We start from the raw sequence: 20,317 nt of genomic DNA on the forward strand, positions 1-20,317 counted from the left end.
TCCACTCCTTAACTCAACCAAAATGTACTGGATAAAGTCTGAGTGTTAAGCCAAAAGAATGTTTGAACATAACTCAATTCAAGTTAAATGATCTCACTTCTACCAGCAAAATAATCTTATCAAAGGAAATAGGCATCACATGTCACATGTTTCCTCCAATTCTGGCTCCTTAAAGACCAAAAGAGATGTTCCCTGGAGGTGGGCCCATGGCTGTCCACAAAGACCAGAATGTAGCTTCTGCAGGAGGAGCCAGGCTTTCCCATCTTCTCCCCAGCATGTTTTCAGCAGCCAGACCTTGGGCTCTCTTTTAAATGCTGCTTCTTTTGCTCCCATTCACAAATGTGGGGACTTTTCTTGCTGACCCTTCCTGATTCTGCTTTTGTAACTGTAATAGGTTCATTGCCTGATGTGCAGGGTAAATCAATACGCCGAGACACTGGGCTACAGCAGAGAAAGAGGTTTAATCGTAGGGCTGCCAAAGGAGGAGATGGGAAGAGACCTCAAATCTGTCTCCCCCAAGCAGTTTGGGGCTAGGATTTCTAAGGGTTTTGGAGTGGGCTGAAGTGTGAGGATCATTAATTGGTTCAAGAGTTGCGGGGGTGAAGTCATGGGACCGAGAGTGGAGAAACTATTCTCATGCTGATTCCATTCCTTTGTGGGGGTCCTCAAACTGGGTGATGTAAGTTGTTTTTGCCAGAATTCAGGATATGGAAAACATCTTAGGCAATTCTTAAACAAACGCCTTATGAGTCTAACATCAGAAATCCTATCTAGAAGAACAGCAGGGATGCAGGTGATCAGTATCTAGCGCTACATGGCTCAGTGACAAGGAAGTGGGCCACAGTGCGGCCTGACTAATGCTTAATTACAACCCTATTTCTGTCCAGAATTCTTGCTAAGCCTATGAGGACAGTTTCGATTTTGCTCTGTCCACACTAGGCTGGGCAACTCCCCCATGCTCCTCATGGGGCTCCTAACCCATTCCACCCTCTGGGTTGGTCTTTTCCACCAGTAGAAAGGACCCCAAGAGGAGTTCCAGTCCCTTCATGGACTTGTCAGTGAGGGTTCTCCAGAAAAACAGAACCAATAGGACAAGAATAGACAAATAAGAGGGGATTGACTGCGGGAATTGGCTCGCATAATTATGGAGGTCTAGAAGTCCCACAGCCTGCCATCCTCAAGCTGGAGAACCAGGAGAGCCAGGGGTGGGATTCAGGGTGAGTCTGAAGGCCTGAAAACCAGGAATCCAAAGTCTGAAAACCAGAGAAGATGGAGGTGCCAGCTCCAGAAGGACAGAAAATACAAAAAAGTAGATTAATTATCCTGTCTGTGACATTTTGTTCCTTCAGGGCCCTCAGCAGATTGAATAATGCCATCTGCATTGGTGAGGATGATCTGCCTTACTCTGTTGACTGATTCGAATGCTGATCTCTTCCAGAAACACCTCAGGGACACACCCATATTCTTTTTTTTTTTTTTTTTTTTTTTTGAGATGGAGTCTTGCTCTGTCCCTTAGGCTGGAGTGCAGTGGCGCCATCTCGGCTCACTACAAGCTCTGCCTCCCAGGTTCATGCCATTCTCCTGCCTCAGCCTCCCAAGTAGCTGGGACTACAGGCGCCCAACACCATGCCCGGCTAATTTTTTGTATCTTTAGTAGAGACGGGGTTTCACCATGTTAGCCAGGATGGTCTCGATCTCCTGACCTCATGATCCGCCCGCCTCGGCCTCCCAAAGTGCTGGGATTACAGGTGTGAGCCACCGCGCCAGGCTGACACACCCATATTCTATCAGTTTTGTGGGTATCCCTTTACCTGGCCAAGCTGACACATAAAATTTTCCATCACAATGGAAGATGAGCAGAAATGTCCCATGCAAGGTGGGACTAGTATTTAAATGTATAAAGCCCAGTTATTTAGAAGCTTTGTGCCTCCATTTCCTCAAGTGCAAATGGGGATAATAATGGCCCCTCTTCCATGGGTCCTTGAGAGCACCCCCCGAAATAATTCACTAACGCATCACAACTGTGCCTGATGCACAGAACACAGACCATAAATGCTATGCCTTCCTGTTGCTAAAAGTATTATTGTCGGCTGGGCATGGTGGCTCACGCCTGTAATCCCAACACTTTGGGAAGCCAAGGTGGGTGGATCACTTGAGGTCAGGAGTTTGAGACCAGCCTGGCCAACATGGGGAAACCCCGTCTCTACTAAAAATACAGAAATTAACCAGGCATGGAGGCGGGCACCTATAATTCCAGCTACTCGGGAGGCTGAGGCAAAAGAATCACTTGAACCTGGGAGGCGGAGGTTGCAGTGAGCCGAGATCATGCCATTGCACTCCAGCCTGGGCGACAAGAGTGAAACTCCATCACAAAAATAAATAAATAAATAAATAATAACAGTATTGTTGTCTTGGGTCATGTTTCTCAAAGGCAGACTCTGAGACAAGGAAAGGTGTGATTTTAGGCAAAGTCCCAGGAGGGGCAGCTTCACCCTAATCCCACAGGGTATCTCAGGAGTGTGGGGCTACCTGGAGGAAAGAATCCCTTAGTACTCCCTGCTCTTCATTGACAGACAAATAAGTTCCCAGAGTCCAAGGGCAGTCCTCCACGAAGAGTGGCAGGTGTTGGGGGGGAACCTGGGAGGATCTGGGGAGCCCTGTGGTGTGCATCACAGTTGTTACCTGCTAAACCTGTCTGAGGATTTCATTCTCTGACTGGCATTTTCACTCTATGGTCTCCATTCTCTGTTCTGCATCCTAGCCCCTTATACCATCTACAGCCTGTTCATCCACTCAGCAATTATTTATTGAGTCCAACTATATGTCCAGCACCATGCTAGGACCTGGGAATATATCCCTGAACAAAAGGCAAAAATGCATATGCCCTCATGGAAATATTCAGTGGTGGCAAATTTCACCAGTTTCTAAAGGAGATCTGGCTTTTAGAAATAGCCAAAAGTCAGAGAAGATGCAATTAATTCCATAATAGCAATTTTCACCCAAAGTAAGTTGCAATTATGAATTGATAAGACTGATTTTCTCCTAGACCTATTAAAGGAGAAAATTATTGCCTATTTTTCCCAGGCAATAATTTTCAGAAGACTTCTTAAAAATTACACATTTTTTCATTACATGGGTAAATAATCACACTACCAAAACCTGCAAAATGGAAGAAAGTAAATTAATTACCTATAATTCTACTGGCTTTCCAAAGCTACTGTTAGCCTTTGGGGGTATCTTCGTCCCGTCTAATCTTTGTGTCTACTTTATATTTTTTTCTAAATTAGAAAGCATTTATGTATACTCATGTATTTCTTTCCAACTTCATGTTTTATCTTAGTCCCACAGTTTTTGCAAAGAATATTCTAATGACCATAGAATATGACATTCTTTACTCATTCTCTATTATTAGCCCTTTGGTTTGTTGGCAACCTTTTCACTATTAATTGTTGAATTGACTAATTCAGAAAACAATTCCAAAAGGGGAGTTTCAATTATGTATGAGGCAGTGAAACCATAATTGGAATGAGTACACTGACTCCCAGGAACCCTTTTGAAGGATGACTCTGATCTGGATATAGCAGGTTTTATCAGATTGATTCCAAAACACCAATAGTCTGCAGTTTCGTGTTTTCCATGTTTGAGGAGTTCTTTCTAAGCTTACCAGGCGGGCTCTAAAAGAAGGATTCCTGGAATTTGATTTTTATCTCCACCCGAGAGCATCATCGAAGCAATCTCCTAAATCTCCCCTAGAGCATTCCACAGCAACCCTTGGAGGCAAAGGACATAAGGGAGGTGGGAGAGGCGAGTGGTGTCTTGTGATTTGCCAATGTCATTCCTGCCATGGCTTCAGCTGACCCCTGAAGGGCCCTTGAGGCACTTTTCCCGGAAGGCCCCCCAGGTCTAGTTGTCACTGGTTTTTTGGAAGGCTCTCCAAGGCCTCCGACATCTGTTAGACATGACCCAAGACAAAGACAGCTGGGAAAACCCACAAGGAAGGAAATCCCACTGTGAAAGGAGCTGCCTCCGAGTTCCTTTGAAAGCCATAGTTAACTATTGTTCCATCACAAAAACTCAAGTTGAAAGCTGCTGCTGATTCCGGGGTCGGTCGCTTAGCCCGTGGCAGAGTTAGCAGGAGGGAAGGGACACAGAAGTGCCTGTGTCCCCAGAATGGCTGCCAGTGGCTGACGGAGCAGCTGAGGCGCTGCTGCCAAGAGCCAGGGCTCCCTCCAGAGAGGGCCTGGTCCTAGGAGACCACGCGACAGGCACAGACAATGGGCCATTAGCTGTCTGTGGCTTCTCTCTGCCTGGTGTTGGCATTTACTGCACGTCCCACACTCATGGGTCTGAAACTCCCTGGAAACTGTAGTAAATTGTAGTGAAAACTTTCCAACAGCCACCTGCACACACTCCCAGACTGGATGAATAAGCAGAGAGTCTGACTTCTTTATCTTCCCTCTTGTAAGGCCTAGAAAAAGAGGAACACATTTTAAAAGTCTGTGAACTGTTCAAAATTGAGCACACGCTTTCTAGCTGGACACCTTATCATTTTCTTTGTCAGATATTTGACATCAACATGCAGAGCAGTTTGGATGAAGAGAGCAAGCATTTGGTGGAGAGAAATGGGTATCACAGGTATGTTAGAAGAGAAAAAGAATCTCCAAGCTGCCGTCTACAGCTTTCCCTGAGCAGTTTCTGCAACACATCAAAAACCTTCACATGACAAGAGGAATGGTCCCTGGAGTGGGCCGCCAGGACAGAGGGTCACGCCTGCATGTTGGCATCAAGGATGGTCCAGTTAGCACTCGCAGGATTAAAACTGGGAATGACCTCTCGCTTGGTGGCTTCAGCCTAATGTTTTGTGTTTTCACTCTGGGTTGACGGAGAGGGTGATTCCTTAAAAAGCACCCCCTAAAAAGAGACAAGGGAAATAATGTTAAAACAAACACTAACACACAAAGCTTTTCTATACCACCATGGGTAGAATTCTGAGACTAACATATCTTAACACCTCCTTTAAGGAAATTGGCTAAAGAAACCCTCAAAGGACCTTGTGATAAGAGAGTCTAATCTGTAAGCTGAAGACCACCCTATGGGGAAGGAGGCACACTAAAGCTGGCTTCCTTGTGGCCACAGCAATGGGCTGGTGTGTGCTGTGAAGGGTTTGGGTCAGAGCTGGGCATTCAGAATATAGCAAACTGCAAAACCACAATGACATTTAGCATGGAAGAGTCTCAGAAGGTGCCTTGACATGCAGCTGATATCTAGAAATCACGGTCTGGTGAAATCACAGCAAATGGCTCCTGCTCCAGAGCCTCCTAAGTGCTCTTCTTTCCTCCCACCACAACCCTCCCAGCACTCGAAGCCAAGATGGGCAGCTTCAGGGGCCAACCTGGCACCAGCCCGCCTGTGGGAGCACCAGACAGTTCACAGAGACTGCCACACCTGAGCCCTGTCCCTGTGCATATCCCCATCCAGGGAGGGCCCAGACAACAGTGGAGGTTGGGACGTGCCCAGTGCCTGTGGTTGCCAGGGCAGTGTTCTGCCAAGGCATCCTCAAGAGGTCACTTGTGGGAAATGCAGCCCCAACAGTTTACCATGCGGCCATTATTATATATCAAGATGGAGCCAAGACCCCAAGGTCCTTCAAATCCATTAAGAATCCTGGGTGCAGTGGCTCACACCTGTAATCCTAACACTTTGGGAGCTCAATGTGGGTGGATCACTTGAGGCCAGGAGTTCAAGACCAGACTGGCCAACGTGGCAAAACCCTGTCTCTACTAAAAATACAAAAAAACCTAGCTGGACGTGGTGGTGCGCAGCTGTAGTCCCAGCTCCTTGGGAGGCTGAGGCAGGGGGATTGCTTGAACCCGGAAGTGGAGGTTGCAATGAGCTAAGATTGCACCACTAAACTCTAGCCTGGACAAAAGAGTGAGACTCCTTCTCAAAAAAAAAAAAAAAAATCCATCGAGAACTGGATCTTCCAATGAGGGGCTTGTTGGAAAATTTCCCCTCCTGTATTAGGCTGTTTTCAACAGGCATTAAGTCTCAACCGTGTTGGTGTTCTTTGACCAAAGAAGGTATGGAAGAAATAATGCTCATACAGAAGTGCCAAGCTCAGTGTTACATGTTTTATGCTCTATCTTGGAAGTGAAAATTTTTCCCATGTCTGCAACAAGATTACCAAGTGACAGTGACCAGTAACAGCTAAATAGGCCTCTATCACAATTTGTTAATTGTAGTTTTTTTTTCCTGAAAGTTCTGCATTTCTACCATATTTCTTCTTTTGACAATAATCAGACATATTGTCATATTGCCACCAAAAGTATTTACTTCAGATAGGAAATACTCAGACTATATCTTCAATGAGAGAACTGTGAAGAAGGTGAAACCATGCCCCGGTACACTGAGACACGAAGCTTCCTCTCTGTCCTGAGAAACATTACCTATATGCTTTTTTATTTTTATTTTTTAGAGATGTGGTCTTGCTCTGTTGCCTAGGCCAGAGTGTGCAGTGGTGTGATGACCATAGCTCATGTAACCTACAACTCCTGACCTTAAGGGGCTTCCCAAGTAGCTAGGACTACAGGCATGCACCACCACACCCAGTTATTATTATTATTATTATTATTATTAAAGAGATGGGTTCTCATTATGTTGCCTAGGCTTGTCTTGAACTCCTGACCTCGTCATCCCATCTCAGCCTCCCAAAGCACTGGGATTGCAGGTGTGAGCCACCATGCACATCCTTTATTACTTTTGACAAAGACCTGAATTCAAATCAGATTATTACTCTTTAATATGCCAACATCTGTTATATCATTAAATTATAGTGTTCTGGGTATAATCATTACCTACAGATCTCTGGGGGGAAAAAGGCTGTCAGTTCACCAAAGTCCATTAGAGTCTCTAAATGAAATAGATGTAAGCTGGCCCTAGACCAGTCACAGACACAAGGCAAAACAACACTGAGCAGAAACTCTTTCCTTGCTCTGAAACTAGCATGCTGTGAAATAGAACAGGTTTCTATTATCTCACAAGGGTATAGCTTAGTGCAGGTTCAATTTACCTAATTTAAGTGTCCCATTATGATTGTTGCAATACAACTAGTTTCTTCATTTCTATCTTCATGTATTACGATTCCAGAGAGAGTGACCTTTAACATAGGAGTGAATGGCCCCGTCCATCTGTTCATCTTTTAGTAACATGAAAGATCTTAAGATATTTGTCAGCTCCAAGGCAGACTTGGAATTGCCTATCAGAATCATCCTGAGTTTGGCTGAGATGGCCAGGCCTTTATACTCTCAAATCAATCTGTATATGGGTACCCCAGGAGTGGGCATGACCTTGGGCAGAATGAGGTCATTCCTGAGGAGGGTGACAGCTGAAGGTTATAGTGCTCCTGGCAGCTGCAGCAACAAATCTTTCATGAAGGGAGGCTTGGGGATGGTGCAACACAGAGTCCACCACAAATATACAGTCCTGTGAAGAGATAAGCACAAGTGCAGACGACGTTATAATACATTGTGATGGGAGCAGGGTAGAGTTAAATACAGGACTCTATCCGCACATCTACGAAACTTATTGTACACAATTTAAGGGATGAGGGGAGCTTCAGGAGAAAGTCTCCTGTAACTCGGTTGTGAAGGGCATGGGGGCTACAGAGGAAAACACATGCATAAAGGGCCAGAGTGTAAATAGTTTGGTGTGATGGAAAGCGTTGGGGGCCGGGCCCAGTGGCTCATGCCTGTAATCCCAGCACTTTGGGAGGCCAAGGCAAGCGGATCACCTGATGTCAGCAGTTCGAGCCCAGCCTGGCCAACCTGGTGAAACCCCATGTCCACTAAAAAATACAAAAATTGGCTGAGCACGGTGGCTCACACCTGTAATCCCAGCACTTTGGGAGGCCGAGGTGGGTGATCACCTGAGGTCAGGAGTTCAAGACCAGTCTGGCCAACATAGTGAAATCCTGTCTCTGCTAAAAATAAAAAAATTAGCCAGGTGTTGTGGCAGGCGTCTGTATTCCCAGCTACTCAGGAGGCTGAGGCAGGAGAATCGCTTGAACTCGGGAGGGAGAGGTTGCAGTGAGCCAAGACTGCACCATTGCACTGCAGCCTGGGCGACAAGAGCAAGACTCCATCTCAAAAAAAAAAAAAATTAACTGGGCTTGGTGGCATGCTCCTGTAATCCCAGCTACTTGGGAGACTGAGGCAGGAGAATCACTCGAACCCAGGAGGTGGAGGTTTCAGTGAGCTGAGATTGCACCACTGCACTCCAGCCTGGGTGATGGAGTGAGATTCCATTTCCAAAAAAAAGGAAAATGTGGACCTGATGTTGTCGGCTACATTGAAGATCAAGACTATCAGTAAGGAGTTACTGAGGGACTCTAATCGGGATAAAAAAAAAAGCACCTAGGAAAGATCACAATCATAGGAGCATGGTGAAGAAATTGGAGGGCTAACTCGAAGGGAAGAGTAACACTTTTGAGTGTTGTAGTAACTCAGGTGAAAGTGACGGTAATATGTGGGGATGGAAAGATTTAAACAGATCAAATAAATATATTCAAGTGGTAAAATCAAGAGAATTACATGATGGACTGGATGTAGGAGGTATAGCTGAGGGAGGGGGTGGGATGGTGGCCAGAAGTCTGGGTGGATGACCATGGCATTCATTGAAATGGAGGTTTTGGGGGGAAAGGAGTGGGGAAGGATGACAAAAAAAAATTCAGTTTTGGATACATTGATTCGAGTTTTGTTTCAGTTGTCCACTAAGCAGCTACCATGTGTGTCTGAAGGTCAGGAGTGATTCCTGCCTTAAAGATGCAGGCCGAGGGTCACTAGCATCTATATGGAAAAAGAAATCCTAGGCATGGATGGAATCTCCTACAAATTTCTTTTAACAGTGAGAAGAGATGGTGTCTAGAATTACTAGAACTACAAGAAGCACTGCGATGTAAGGAATGGTTGTAGGGAGAGGAGACAAACATCTCTGAAGACTAGGGAATGTTAGGAAGAAAACCAAGGTTTAGCGTCACAAGCCAAGAGAAAGGAGGTTGGTAAACCATACTGAAGTTTGTGGGGGCTCCACAAATCTTTCCGGTTTCCCTAATTGCACTCTGATCTGATTATGAGATAAATACAGGAGTAGGCCATTGGAGAACTGGCCACCCCTTCATTACTGATGAAATTGATCACGAAGACTATGGTGGAGGTATGCGGCAGTAACGAACTCTCCAGTTGTGAAACCTGGACTCCTTCCTTGCTGAGGCACAGGTAGTGCTGGAACCCTGCAAGGCCTCCTCACTGGGGGGCCTGGAGGAAGAGAAGGGCAGAATGCCAGCTCCCCACAGCAGCTGCTCCCAAGAGGAAAAGAGGGAGAGGCAAGACTGTACCTGCCCAGTTCCTCCTCCCAAAGCCACCAATCGGGTAATTCAACCCACATGGAAGAAGAGACACTGGGATTAGAGAACAAGCGTCTCTCTCACCTCTCCCATCCACACAAGAAAATCAAGGACTGGAGAGTGTCTGTTAGTTGATGCTGCTGGTAGTAAACTCCCTGGAGTGGTAGTGGGAGAAGCCAGACTGCAGCAGGCTAGAGAGAGAATGGGAGGCGAGGCATAGAGACAACCAGGCCATAGAGCGCTCACAAGAAATGCTGTTATGACAACTACTCCAAGGGGTTAGAGCTACCGTCTGCAAAGTTTAATTTCATTTCATTAGCATATGTTAGGGTAATCCAGGCTTGAGGAGCTGAAATAAGGTACTGATTAACTTCCTAGGGAAAGACACATGAAATAAAGCCATGAAAATGTGTTTTGTGGGACCTGGGGCCAGTAGACTAACAAGGAAACGACCCGGGGTCAGTTCACAGAATGTTGGAGGAGAGTTGAGAGACAGCAGTGGGGCCTAAGCATGTGAGTTTCTACTCAAGATGATTCATTGCATCACACTCAAAAAAAATGGAGAAGGAGGCCGGGCATGGTGGCTCACTCCTATAATTCCGGCACTTTAGGAGGCCGAAGTGGGTGGATCACCTGAGATTGGGAGTTCGAGACCAGCCTGACTAACATGGAGAATCCCCATCTCTCCTGAAAATACAAAATTAGCTGGGCATGGTGGTGCATGCCTGTAATCCCAGCTACTCGGGAGGCTGAGGCAGGAGAATCGCTTGAACCCGGGAGGCAGAGGTTGTGGTGAGCCGAGATCGTGCCATTGCACTCCAGCCTGGGCAACAGAGTGAAACTCCATCTCAAAAAAAAAAAAGAGACAAGGAGGACACTGAGCCTTTAGAAAGAATTTAAACCAAACAAACAAACAAGCAAACCAAACCCCCCACTAAATTAAAGAAAGACCATGTGCTAATCAAAACACTGTGCTGACAAACAGACCCCCAAATTTCAGTGGCTTAACAAAAGTAAAAGTCTATTTTACTCATGTCATGTCTATTGCAGGATGGGTAGCTGTGTTCCATCTTGCAGCTCCAAGCTAGTTCATCTGGGCTTCAAGGCTGATGTGGATGGGGAAGGAGAATAGAGGCTCACACATGGGTGTACATATCACAAGGAACAGAATATAGTCACATGGCCCCACCTGACTGCAAGGAAATATGGGAATTGTAGTCTGTGGGCCTTTGAAGAGGAGAAAAATGGGCACTGGTGAGCACCAGCAGAACCCATCACTGTAGGCATTAAAGAGGTTTAGAGCCATGGGAACCACACGATGTGGCTGTGCATCCCTGCAAGCCACATTCCTTGAAACCATGTAAATCACTAGGTAAGTAAATCACCTTACTGACATAGAAGCTGCATTTCATGTAAGTAAGGCGATTCCTCACTGACCTTGAAGAAGTTTTTTTCTTTTTATTTTTTCTTTTTTTTTTTTAATTTTTTTATTTTTTTTTTGAGACGGAGTCTCACTCTTGTCGCCCAGGCTGGAGCGCAGTGGTGCTATCTCAGCTCACGGCAAACTCTGCCTCCCAGGTTCAAGCAATTCTCCTGCCTCATCCTCCCAATTAGCTGGGATTTCAGGTGCCCGCTACCATGCCTGGCTAATTTTTGTATTTTTAGTAGAGACAGGGTTTCACCATGTTGGCCAGGCTGGCCTCAAACTCCTGACCTCAGGTGATCCGCCCGCCTCGACCTCCCAAAGTGCTGGGATTACAGGTGTGAGCCACTGCGCCCGACAAAGAAGTTTTTTACGATAGGCACAAATGTTTAAAGAGATAAATACTACTGAAATGGGGATTACGATCCACTGCAGAAAATCATTAACATAGTCCCTAGCACATAGGGCTCAATGAGTATCTGTTGATCAATTGAGCTGATGCCTGATAAATCTTGACCTTTCACAGACAGACAGAAAACAACAGATGCAACTACAGCAGAAGGCTTTTTCCCTCCAAAGGCTGTAATGCTCCGGTTTTGCTCTCTGGGTCAGGTTTTCCCCCATCCTATATTTTTGGCTGCTGGTTCGGAGGCAATCACCAGAGACAAAGAAAAGAGATGCTTAGACAAGCGGACTGGTTCAGCTGGATGAAGCGCAACCGCTACAAAGTCTTGGTTTGGTAGATTTGACTTTGCTCTTTCCTTTCTCTTCGGAGGGGAACGTTAGGAAAGGCCTGTGGCTTGCAGAGATGCACTCCCCACTGGTGTGGTTCCCATGGCTCTAAACTCCTGTGCCTGCTCATGTGGGAAACCTATTTAAGACATTCTGTTGCATAATTGGAGGAAAATAATTGGAGGAAAAGTGTAAGCCATCTTGAGGGAAGCAATCACTCGACTAACATTCCTACTTAAAAATAAATGAGAAAAACCAGATTTTGCAATTTCAACAGACTTTTATTGAACATTTACTAACTCTGCAAAGTATTATGCCAGATACAGTAAAGGGCATAAAAAATAAATGGGCTAGACCCAGTTCTCAAATAGCTAGTGGGAAAGTCGGTCACTTAAAAATCTGATTAGATTATAACGGAAAGTGATTCTGAATAGAGTAATGAGAAAACTTGCATGGAGTTGGGGAGGGAGGGGTGCTCATCTCAGACCATCAAGAACAAAGGCCCCATGGTGGGCACAGCATTGGTGGAAGACTGTGGGACTGGGGTGCTCCTTGGCTGTCCCCACAGGCCCTATATATGTAAGTGGATGAGGTCCCCACCTGCCTGGGTCAGGGCATTCAAGGGATGTTTCTGCCCAGATCCTACACCAGGTGTGACTCAAATCCTTACAACTGTAGGGTCCCTGGGGACAACCTCAGCCATTCTGCTTGAAGCAGGCTTCAAATAAAGGTCCTCAAGAGATTCTGAGGTACAGGGCATTAGCCAGGAGGATCTTTCATGCCCACACTGAGGAGTATGAAGATCATTTTATTTTATTTTATTTTATTTTATTTTATTTATTTTTTGAGATGGAGTGTTGCTCTGTTGCCCAGGTTGGGCATGATCTTGGCTCACTGCAACCTCCGCCTCCTGGGTTCAAGTGATTCTCCTGCTTCAGCCTCCCAAGTAGCTGGGATTACAGGCACCTGCCACCATGCCCGGCTAATTTTTGTATTCTTAGTAGAGATGGGTTTCACCATGTTTGTCAGGCTGGTTTTGAACTCCTGACCTCAAGTGATCCTCCCATCTCAGCCTCCCAAAGTGCTGGGATTACAGGCGTGAGCCATCACGCCTAGCCATGATCATTTTAAAGGGCAAGAAATGAATCAAAGGTTTTTGAGAAGAGTGGCACAATCCAACCTGTCCTTTGGGAAGTTCCTTGGGCTTGAGGTCAAAGGAGGGATGGTTAGGGTGCACCTGCAGCATGGGGAAGGCCCAGAGGAACAGCCCTTCCCTGAGAGACAGATACCCTCTATCCCACCTCCATGAGAGATTCTCCCCAGATTTCCCTAGTCTCAGGCACCTGTGGAGACAAATGACGTCACATGGTCATGAATATCACCTTTCACTGGCCGGTTAACTCACTGCAACCATGCAGCATTCCAAATTCTTTTAAACCGGTGCTCTGCCCAAAATACTATTTGCACATGTTGTCTAATTGAAATCTCAGAATAACTGTATGAGGTAGGAAATGCTGTTATCCTCATTTCTCAGATGAGGAAGCTGAGGGGAAAGTTCTTGTATTTACACAGATACAGTAGCTAAGTTGGAATTTGAATCTGATTGAGATTCCAGAGCCATACTCTTAGTTACTATGCTGCACAGCCTGTAAAGATTTTGATAAACATGGAAAGCCCTGGATGCTTGAAAGACAAGGTAAGCCCATGGCATAAAGAAAGATCAGGATAGGAACTGTGCTGCAATCTGTCTTTCCCTTCACAATTTAGTCCACTTGGTGTGTCTGTCTATCCATCTGTCTGTATATCATCTAACCACCAACCCATACATCCACCCATCCATCCATCCCTCCATCCAAACATCCATCCATCCATCCATCCATCCATCCATCCATCCATCTCAACCTTCAGAAAAGAACTCAAGGCAAAAAGATAAACAGAGAAGTAAAAGCCTTAAAAATAGTGATAAAAGAATAAAAGGCACATAACAAAGGGAAATAGATTATTGTAAAACTGATGCAAAAAAGCACATACTTAATTCTGAGCACCTTGACTTCCAAGGTATAAAAAGAAATATGGTGAATTACATAGTTTGCATTCGCTCATAAAAGCATGGCCATCTGTCAGGAGAGACAAACTTTTCTACTACCAAAGCTTAAAACAGCTAACACATGGGTCTTTATTTAATAAAGGAAAATTAAATAACATGAGGCCAGCATCCTCAAATGCAGATGAGTCCCAATAAAGGCAGAGCACCTAACGTTAAATCTTCATTATTTCTGTAGGACTGAAGAGTAGTATAATCTGGACATGCTCTGTCTAGGGGAGTTTCTAGAGTCCCAGATTGAGGAGGCCCAGCAATGTGTGACTTTTGCTTCCCTGTGGTTCAATAGTCTCACCTTCACCTTACCATTGACTTCTCCTTCATTCTGCCTATCTCAGGAAAGAGAACCATCAGGGGGTGCCAATTAGATTATGTCAGAGACAGTAGAAGAGACAGAAATGCAAGACAACCAGGGGCCCAAGAAGATATTACCAACGTGGGGACTGGAATGGAGGGAAGTGAATGAGTGAAAGAACATGGCTTTAGAATGGTATCAAATGCCAGTCCTACCACCAGGGAAAAATCACGACATATTTCAAGCAATAGACACTAGTTCCTTGCCTTGATTCTCCAAGGTTGTGAAGAACTAGGAAGAGCTGAGCAGAGAAGAGTCATGCTAAAGGACACAGCTGGAGCTTCCCTCTGCAGGTGGGAGGTAGTTTCCTGAGTTTCTTCTCAGAAAAGAGTCTTTGTACTTAAGAGCAGGATGGAAGAGAGATGGAGTAATATCTCCCACACAGAAAGATGCAACTGCTGGCTATTGTGTGAAGGATATTGTAACATGAGAGAGGTCACGTGTTCACAGCCAAAGAGAAGTGTTATCCAGATGCATTTCACCTGCCAACAGTGAGCAGATGTTAGAGTCTTTTCCTGAACCCTGAAAGTTGACTTGATCCCCTCTTTTTGGGGACTCCTTTTTGTGAGAAGTTGCAGGTTTCCAGCTATCATCCCTGTTTTACCTCTTCTTATTCCTGGGTTTGAGAACTGGTATTCCAGCCATTGGATGACAATGTGGATGCCTGTTTTCTCCTTCTGTGGGGAGAGTCAATTGCTGGCATTCACTTCTTATGGCATCTCCACCAGTCATTCTTTCTTTGCATTGCTACCATCATTGGCCTACACAGGCCTTTACAACTAGACTAGTGCTCCACAGCCTTGCTCATGTCATGGCACACAAAGGAAATGACATGATTTATTCAGCCCACTGGGCTTATCCAGGCTGGAGGCAAATGGCTGTGGCCACTCCATACCTCCCGACCCCTGCCCCAGGCTGCACTGGTAGGTACAAGGATCCAATTAAGTTGACCTGCTTGCAGTCCAACTAGGCACACCAGTTGGAAGCTCTGATCTGGAACACAGAAATAGCTGCTTCATTTTTTTCCCCGTCATCGGTCTCTTGCTTCAATCCACATTGCGCACATTGGCCAGGCTAGTTTTCCCCAATTCAGCATTTTCATTATGTTGTTTTACTGCTCACCTCACAAGCAGTGGCTCCCCACCACCTATTGGAGTTTTAAAGTTACTGACCTGGCAGTCAAGACCTCCCCCAGTGTTGCCCCTATTTGTCTTTCCCAGGATTGTCAGGTTCAGACCTGAACTCGCTGCCTTCTCCACATGTGCGCTTCTGCATTTAGCATGGTGCTCTACTGTCAGGCCTATTCTCCATTCTTGCCTACAATACTTCCAGATTGAGATCATTCCATGTCTCCTCTTTGATGCTGTCCAATAACTCAGCTTCTAAGGGTTTTTGTTTTAACCTCTTTTCCAACCTTGTAGGCCACTATTCTCCAAGTCCCTTCCAGTCTCTCAACATTCAGTGAAAAGCCAGGCTTAAATAGTCCAATAAATTCAGGAAATGCTGCAGCATATATTCCCTTCTTGAGGATGCAAAACGCATATCTGCTTAAAAGGAATTTATTTCATTCATTTTAGCCCTGAGTTGTTCAAACTTATTTCAGCACAGAACTTTAGAACAATAACAGTTATTAACTTCCCGTGGAATTGGTCCTATAAAGCAGACTTTGGAAACACACAGTTGGAACCTTGCAGGTGATATCCAGATAGGCTCTAGTCTCAAATTTAGTTAGCTCTTTCAAATCTCCAGGTAGTAAAAGCTAATTAAATCCGATCATGGAACTAGACAATCCGACCTTCCTATAAATAGTCTCTTTTCCCGCCACATTCAGTACTGAAAGAGAAAAGGGACAATGGTGGTACCCCTCACCCTGCATGACCTTACTGTCAACTCTGTGTTTGGAACCCTGGCAGAAGTTTGCTGGGATGAATTTGAGTAGCCAATTCAAGTAATAATAATAGCAAGATAATATTCATCAATATCATGCACTAGAAAGTGCAGCACGTTGTAAATCCTTAGTTTACATGAGTTTTTTCAGTCCCCACAACAGCACTGTCAGGTAACCACTATTTTTTATCTCCATGTTACAGATAAGGAAACTGAGGCACAGAGGGATGAAGTAACTTTCCCAAGGATGCATATCTAGAGAGTAGCAGAGCCAGCATTCAGACACTCAATCACCAGAGTCTTGCTCAGAACCACAATGTTATGTTACCTCTTCAAGAAAACCAAAGTCCTTTGCCATAGGTTGTTTGTTTGTCTGTTTTTGAGACAGAGTCTCACTCTGTCACCCAGGCTGGAGTACAGTGGCATGATCTTGGCTCATTCCAGCCTCAACCTCCCAGGCTCATGAAATCCACCCACCTCAACCTCCTGAGTTGCTAGGACTATAGAAGCACACCACTACACCTGGCTAATTCTTTTTGGTTTTGTAGAGATGGGATCTTGCTGTGTTGCCCAGGCTGGTCTCAAACTCCTGGGCTCAATGGATGCTCTGACTTTGGCCTCCCAAAGTGCTGGGATTGCAGGCATGAGCCACCATACCTGGCCCAAAGGCATATATTTGAAGGGTGTGTAAGGTAAAATGACACAGCGATAGATTGATCTAATGCATTTTTTTTTTCTAATTTTGAGACAGCATCTCGCTCTGTTGTCCAGGCTGGAATGGAGTGGCATGATCTTGGCTCACTGCAACCTCCACCCCCGGGTTCAAGTGATTCTCCTGCCTCAGCCTTCCAGGACTACAGGCGTGCGTCACGATGCCCGGCTAATTTTTGTATTTTCAGTAGAGACGAGGTTTCACCATGTTGTCCAGGCTGGTCTTGAACTCCTGACCTCAGGTAATCTGCCCACCTCGGTTTCCCAAAGTGCTGGGATTATAGGCATGAGCCACCGCGTCCAGCCTAATGTATTCTTTATGAAACTCTGCCTAAATGTTTACTGATATCTATGCTCAGAAGTCCACGTTCTCTATTCCACACAGATAGCTTATCTCCAAGTTTATTTAAAAGATCACATTGTACTTATTCTTTGTACTGTGAGTCTTGGTCTTTGGCCAAAAGCAATACAATTCTGACCTAGGAGTTCTTCATTCATCACCCCAGTGCAAGAAGGGTTTCCCCCTCTCTGAGTTTTTTTGACATTTATTGTGTCTTCTACTCATTTGAATGTATATTCTGTTTTGTAATCATAATTGTCTCGCCAAGTGACTGGGTCTTATCTTTCCAACTATGTCTTGTCACTTATAGCTCCGTGCACAGTGTCATGCTCAGAGAGGTGTTGAGTGTCTGTTGACTGATTTATTACCCCCAAATGCTGGAGCCATTTCATGATTGCACTGGGTGTCCTCCTTTAACCCACTGTATCTGCTCTCTGCCTTCCTCCACCTCGCTGTGTCCTCAGGAGGATGACCGCTGTGGACCCATTCACAGGCTCCCTTCCTCTCTGACTCCCGGTGGTGCCACTAGTGGGAGACGCCAGCAGAAGAAGTGACAGTGGGAGGAGAGAGAGGTCAGTATTCATTCCCCTGGTTTCCTCTCTTGCAAGCTCTGTGTTGTCAGGACAAAACCACTGCATCAAGAGACATCCCTAGCTGCTTATTAGCCTCACAGTCCACAATCTCCAGGAACGCCCATGCTTCCTCAGGTTTTGTTACAATCCTCTCCTGCCATTCTGCAACTTCTTCGGCACCGGGCTGAAGAGTGAATGTTAACTGCCAGCTGCACAGCCTGCATAAGACTGCAGAGCTCAGTGGATACAACTGGCACATATCTCTCCTTTAGGAAAGCACGTAAAAGATCCTTTCACCCTTTCTGGCTGTTGGAAGGATAGCACCCTACATTGCAGCTGAACAAGGACAGCATCTACCAAGGGAGATTTTTCAGCTGACCCCGTGAGGCCTGGCAGTTGAGGATGGAGAGGCTTATGGTTGTTTGGCTGTTGGTGTATTATTTTGGCTACTGGGAGGAATCCCGTGTGAGAGCCTGTACTACTGTGGCAGTCTGTTTCTGGCCAGTTTGACCTTTTTATCATGTATTTTTGGGCCTGAGAATGTTCTGAGATTCCCTGACATTCTACTGCTTTATTTTCAATTAGCCAGAGCTGTAATCTATCAATCTGGACCTTTATAGATATACGTTTATACAGTTTTTGTGAAATATAATTTATATGCCGTATAATTCACTCATTTAAAGTGTACAGTTCACATTTTGGAATATTCACAGGGTTGTGCAGCTGTCACCACAATCTATTCCTTTTTTGAGATAGAGTCTTGTTCTGCTGCCCAGGCTGGAATGCAGTGGCATGATCTCGGCTCACTGCAAACTCTGCCTCCCAGGTTCAAGCGATTCTCCTGCCTCAGCCTCCCAAGTAGCTGGAATTACAGGTGCCCGCCACCATGCCTGGCTAATTTTTGTATTTTTAGTAGAGACGGAGTTTCACCATGTTGGCCAGGCTGGTTTCAAACTCCTGACCTCAAGTGATCCACCTTCCTTGGCCTCCCAAAGTGCTGGGATTACAGGCGTGAGCCACCACAATCTAATCTTACAACGTTTTTATTTCCCATAAAAGAAGCTCTGATTTAGTGTCACTCTCCTTTCCTCCCTTTGCCAGCTTCTGGCAACCACCAATCTACTTTCTACCTCTATGGATTTCCTTATTTTAGATACTTCATATAAACAAAATCATACATGATGTGACCTTTTGTATCTGGCTTCTTTCACTTAGCACAATGTCTTCATGGTTCATTCATGTTGTAGATGTATCAATTCTTTATCCTTTTTATGATTGAATAACATTCCATTATATGAATATACAAAATTTTCTTTATACAATCATCAGCAGAATGACATTTGAGTTATTTCCATTTTTTTGGCTATTATGAATAATGCTACCAAGAACATTTGTGGCTGGACACAGTGGCTCACACCTATAATCCCAGCACTTTGGGGGCTCGAGGTGGGCGGATTTCTTTGAACCCAGCAGTTTGAGACCAGCCTACGTAACGTAGTGAAACTCCATCTCCACAAAAAAAAAAAAAAGTATACAAAAAATTAGCTGTGTGTGGTGGTGCGTGCCTGTAGTCCCAACTACTCAGGAGAGGTGGGAGGAGAAATTGAGCCCAGGAGTTCAAGGCTGCCGTGAGCCATGATTGTGCCACTTCACTCCAGCCTGGGTGACAGAGTGAGATCCCACCTCAAAAAAACAAAAACAAAAAAAAAACAAAGAACATTTGTGTACAAAGGTTTTTGTATGGACATATGTATGTTTTCATTTCTCTTGAATAAATACCTATGAGTGGATAAGCTAGGTCATATGCTAACTCTATGTTTAACTTTTGGAGAACTTCCAAACTGTTTTCTAAAGTGGCTGTACTGTTTTACATTCCTGCCAGTAATGAATGAGGGTTTCAGGCTCTCTACAGCCTTGTCACTTGCTGTTGGTTGTCTTTATTTTAGCCATTCCAGTGGGGGTGAAGTGGTATCTCATGCTGGCTTGGTTTGCATTGCCCAGGTGGCTAGTAATGCCGAGTATCCTTTCATGTACTTATTGGCCATTTATACACAAGCTTTATGTCTACATTTCCCTATTCAAGACTTTAGGAGCCTGACGGATTTCAGAATTCTGACCCTTTCGGAAGTTCATAGACACTCTTCAATATATCTGCTGCAAAAATACTATGATTCAACCTAAATGGGATAAAGTGTATATGACCTCAGGTGATACTGTCAGTTTTTGACACCGAAAGTGTTACAAAAAAATGTTGGTTTTGAGAACTTTTGGATTTTAGGAATATAAGGAAGGGACTGAGCACCTGTACATGCTCCTGGGTTCCAGTTAAGACTGTGCTATGGGCAGCCATCCAGATGTGCCACTGCTGCCCCTCCACGAGCCCCATAAGCATGGCTTTCTCTAGCGTGACCCCTCAGGGACCCTCCCCAGGGTCCAGCAGGGAGCAGAGTACAAGGACAGGGGCCTAGGCACCTTTCTTCCCTGATCTGACTTTGCATGGTGCCTCACTCAAGACCTGAGTGGCATTCTTAGCTTAGCCCCACAGTTGCCTCAGGCTAGCTGAGGTCACCTTGCTTGTCCAGAGATAGAAGTGCAGCTAGTGGTGTTTTTGGGAGAGGGAGAGAGTGGGGGTGCAGGGAGGGTTGTGATGCATAGAGTGGGGGCAGGTATTAATCCCTGCAATTACTCCTAGATATGCCCATTGCACTTTAAAGAATCTTTAATTGTATTTATAGAAACACAGAAAAGTGAAGAATTCAAGTGATGCTGAAATTTGGCAAATCAACAGTGTGCAAG

The 20,317-nt window shown here is 45.2% G+C and overlaps 3 annotated features.

Moving 5' to 3' along the window:
- Window positions 3,651–4,207: an enhancer, noted in NCBI's record as "H3K27ac-H3K4me1 hESC enhancer chr5:14118635-14119191 (GRCh37/hg19 assembly coordinates)". NCBI's record gives its function as "activates a minimal SCP1, AML or CMV promoter by ChIP-STARR-seq in naive H9 embryonic stem cells {active_cell/tissue: H9 hESC(naive)}" and the evidence as "EXISTENCE:reporter gene assay evidence [ECO:0000049][PMID:30033119]".
- Window positions 4,208–4,763: an enhancer, noted in NCBI's record as "H3K27ac-H3K4me1 hESC enhancer chr5:14119192-14119747 (GRCh37/hg19 assembly coordinates)". NCBI's record gives its function as "activates a minimal SCP1, AML or CMV promoter by ChIP-STARR-seq in naive H9 embryonic stem cells {active_cell/tissue: H9 hESC(naive)}" and the evidence as "EXISTENCE:reporter gene assay evidence [ECO:0000049][PMID:30033119]".
- Window positions 10,575–11,076: an enhancer, noted in NCBI's record as "H3K4me1 hESC enhancer chr5:14125559-14126060 (GRCh37/hg19 assembly coordinates)". NCBI's record gives its function as "activates a minimal SCP1, AML or CMV promoter by ChIP-STARR-seq in primed H9 embryonic stem cells {active_cell/tissue: H9 hESC(primed)}" and the evidence as "EXISTENCE:reporter gene assay evidence [ECO:0000049][PMID:30033119]".

Source organism: Homo sapiens, chromosome 5, assembly GCF_000001405.40.
Source record: "Homo sapiens chromosome 5, GRCh38.p14 Primary Assembly".
NCBI lineage: Eukaryota > Metazoa > Chordata > Mammalia > Primates > Hominidae > Homo > Homo sapiens.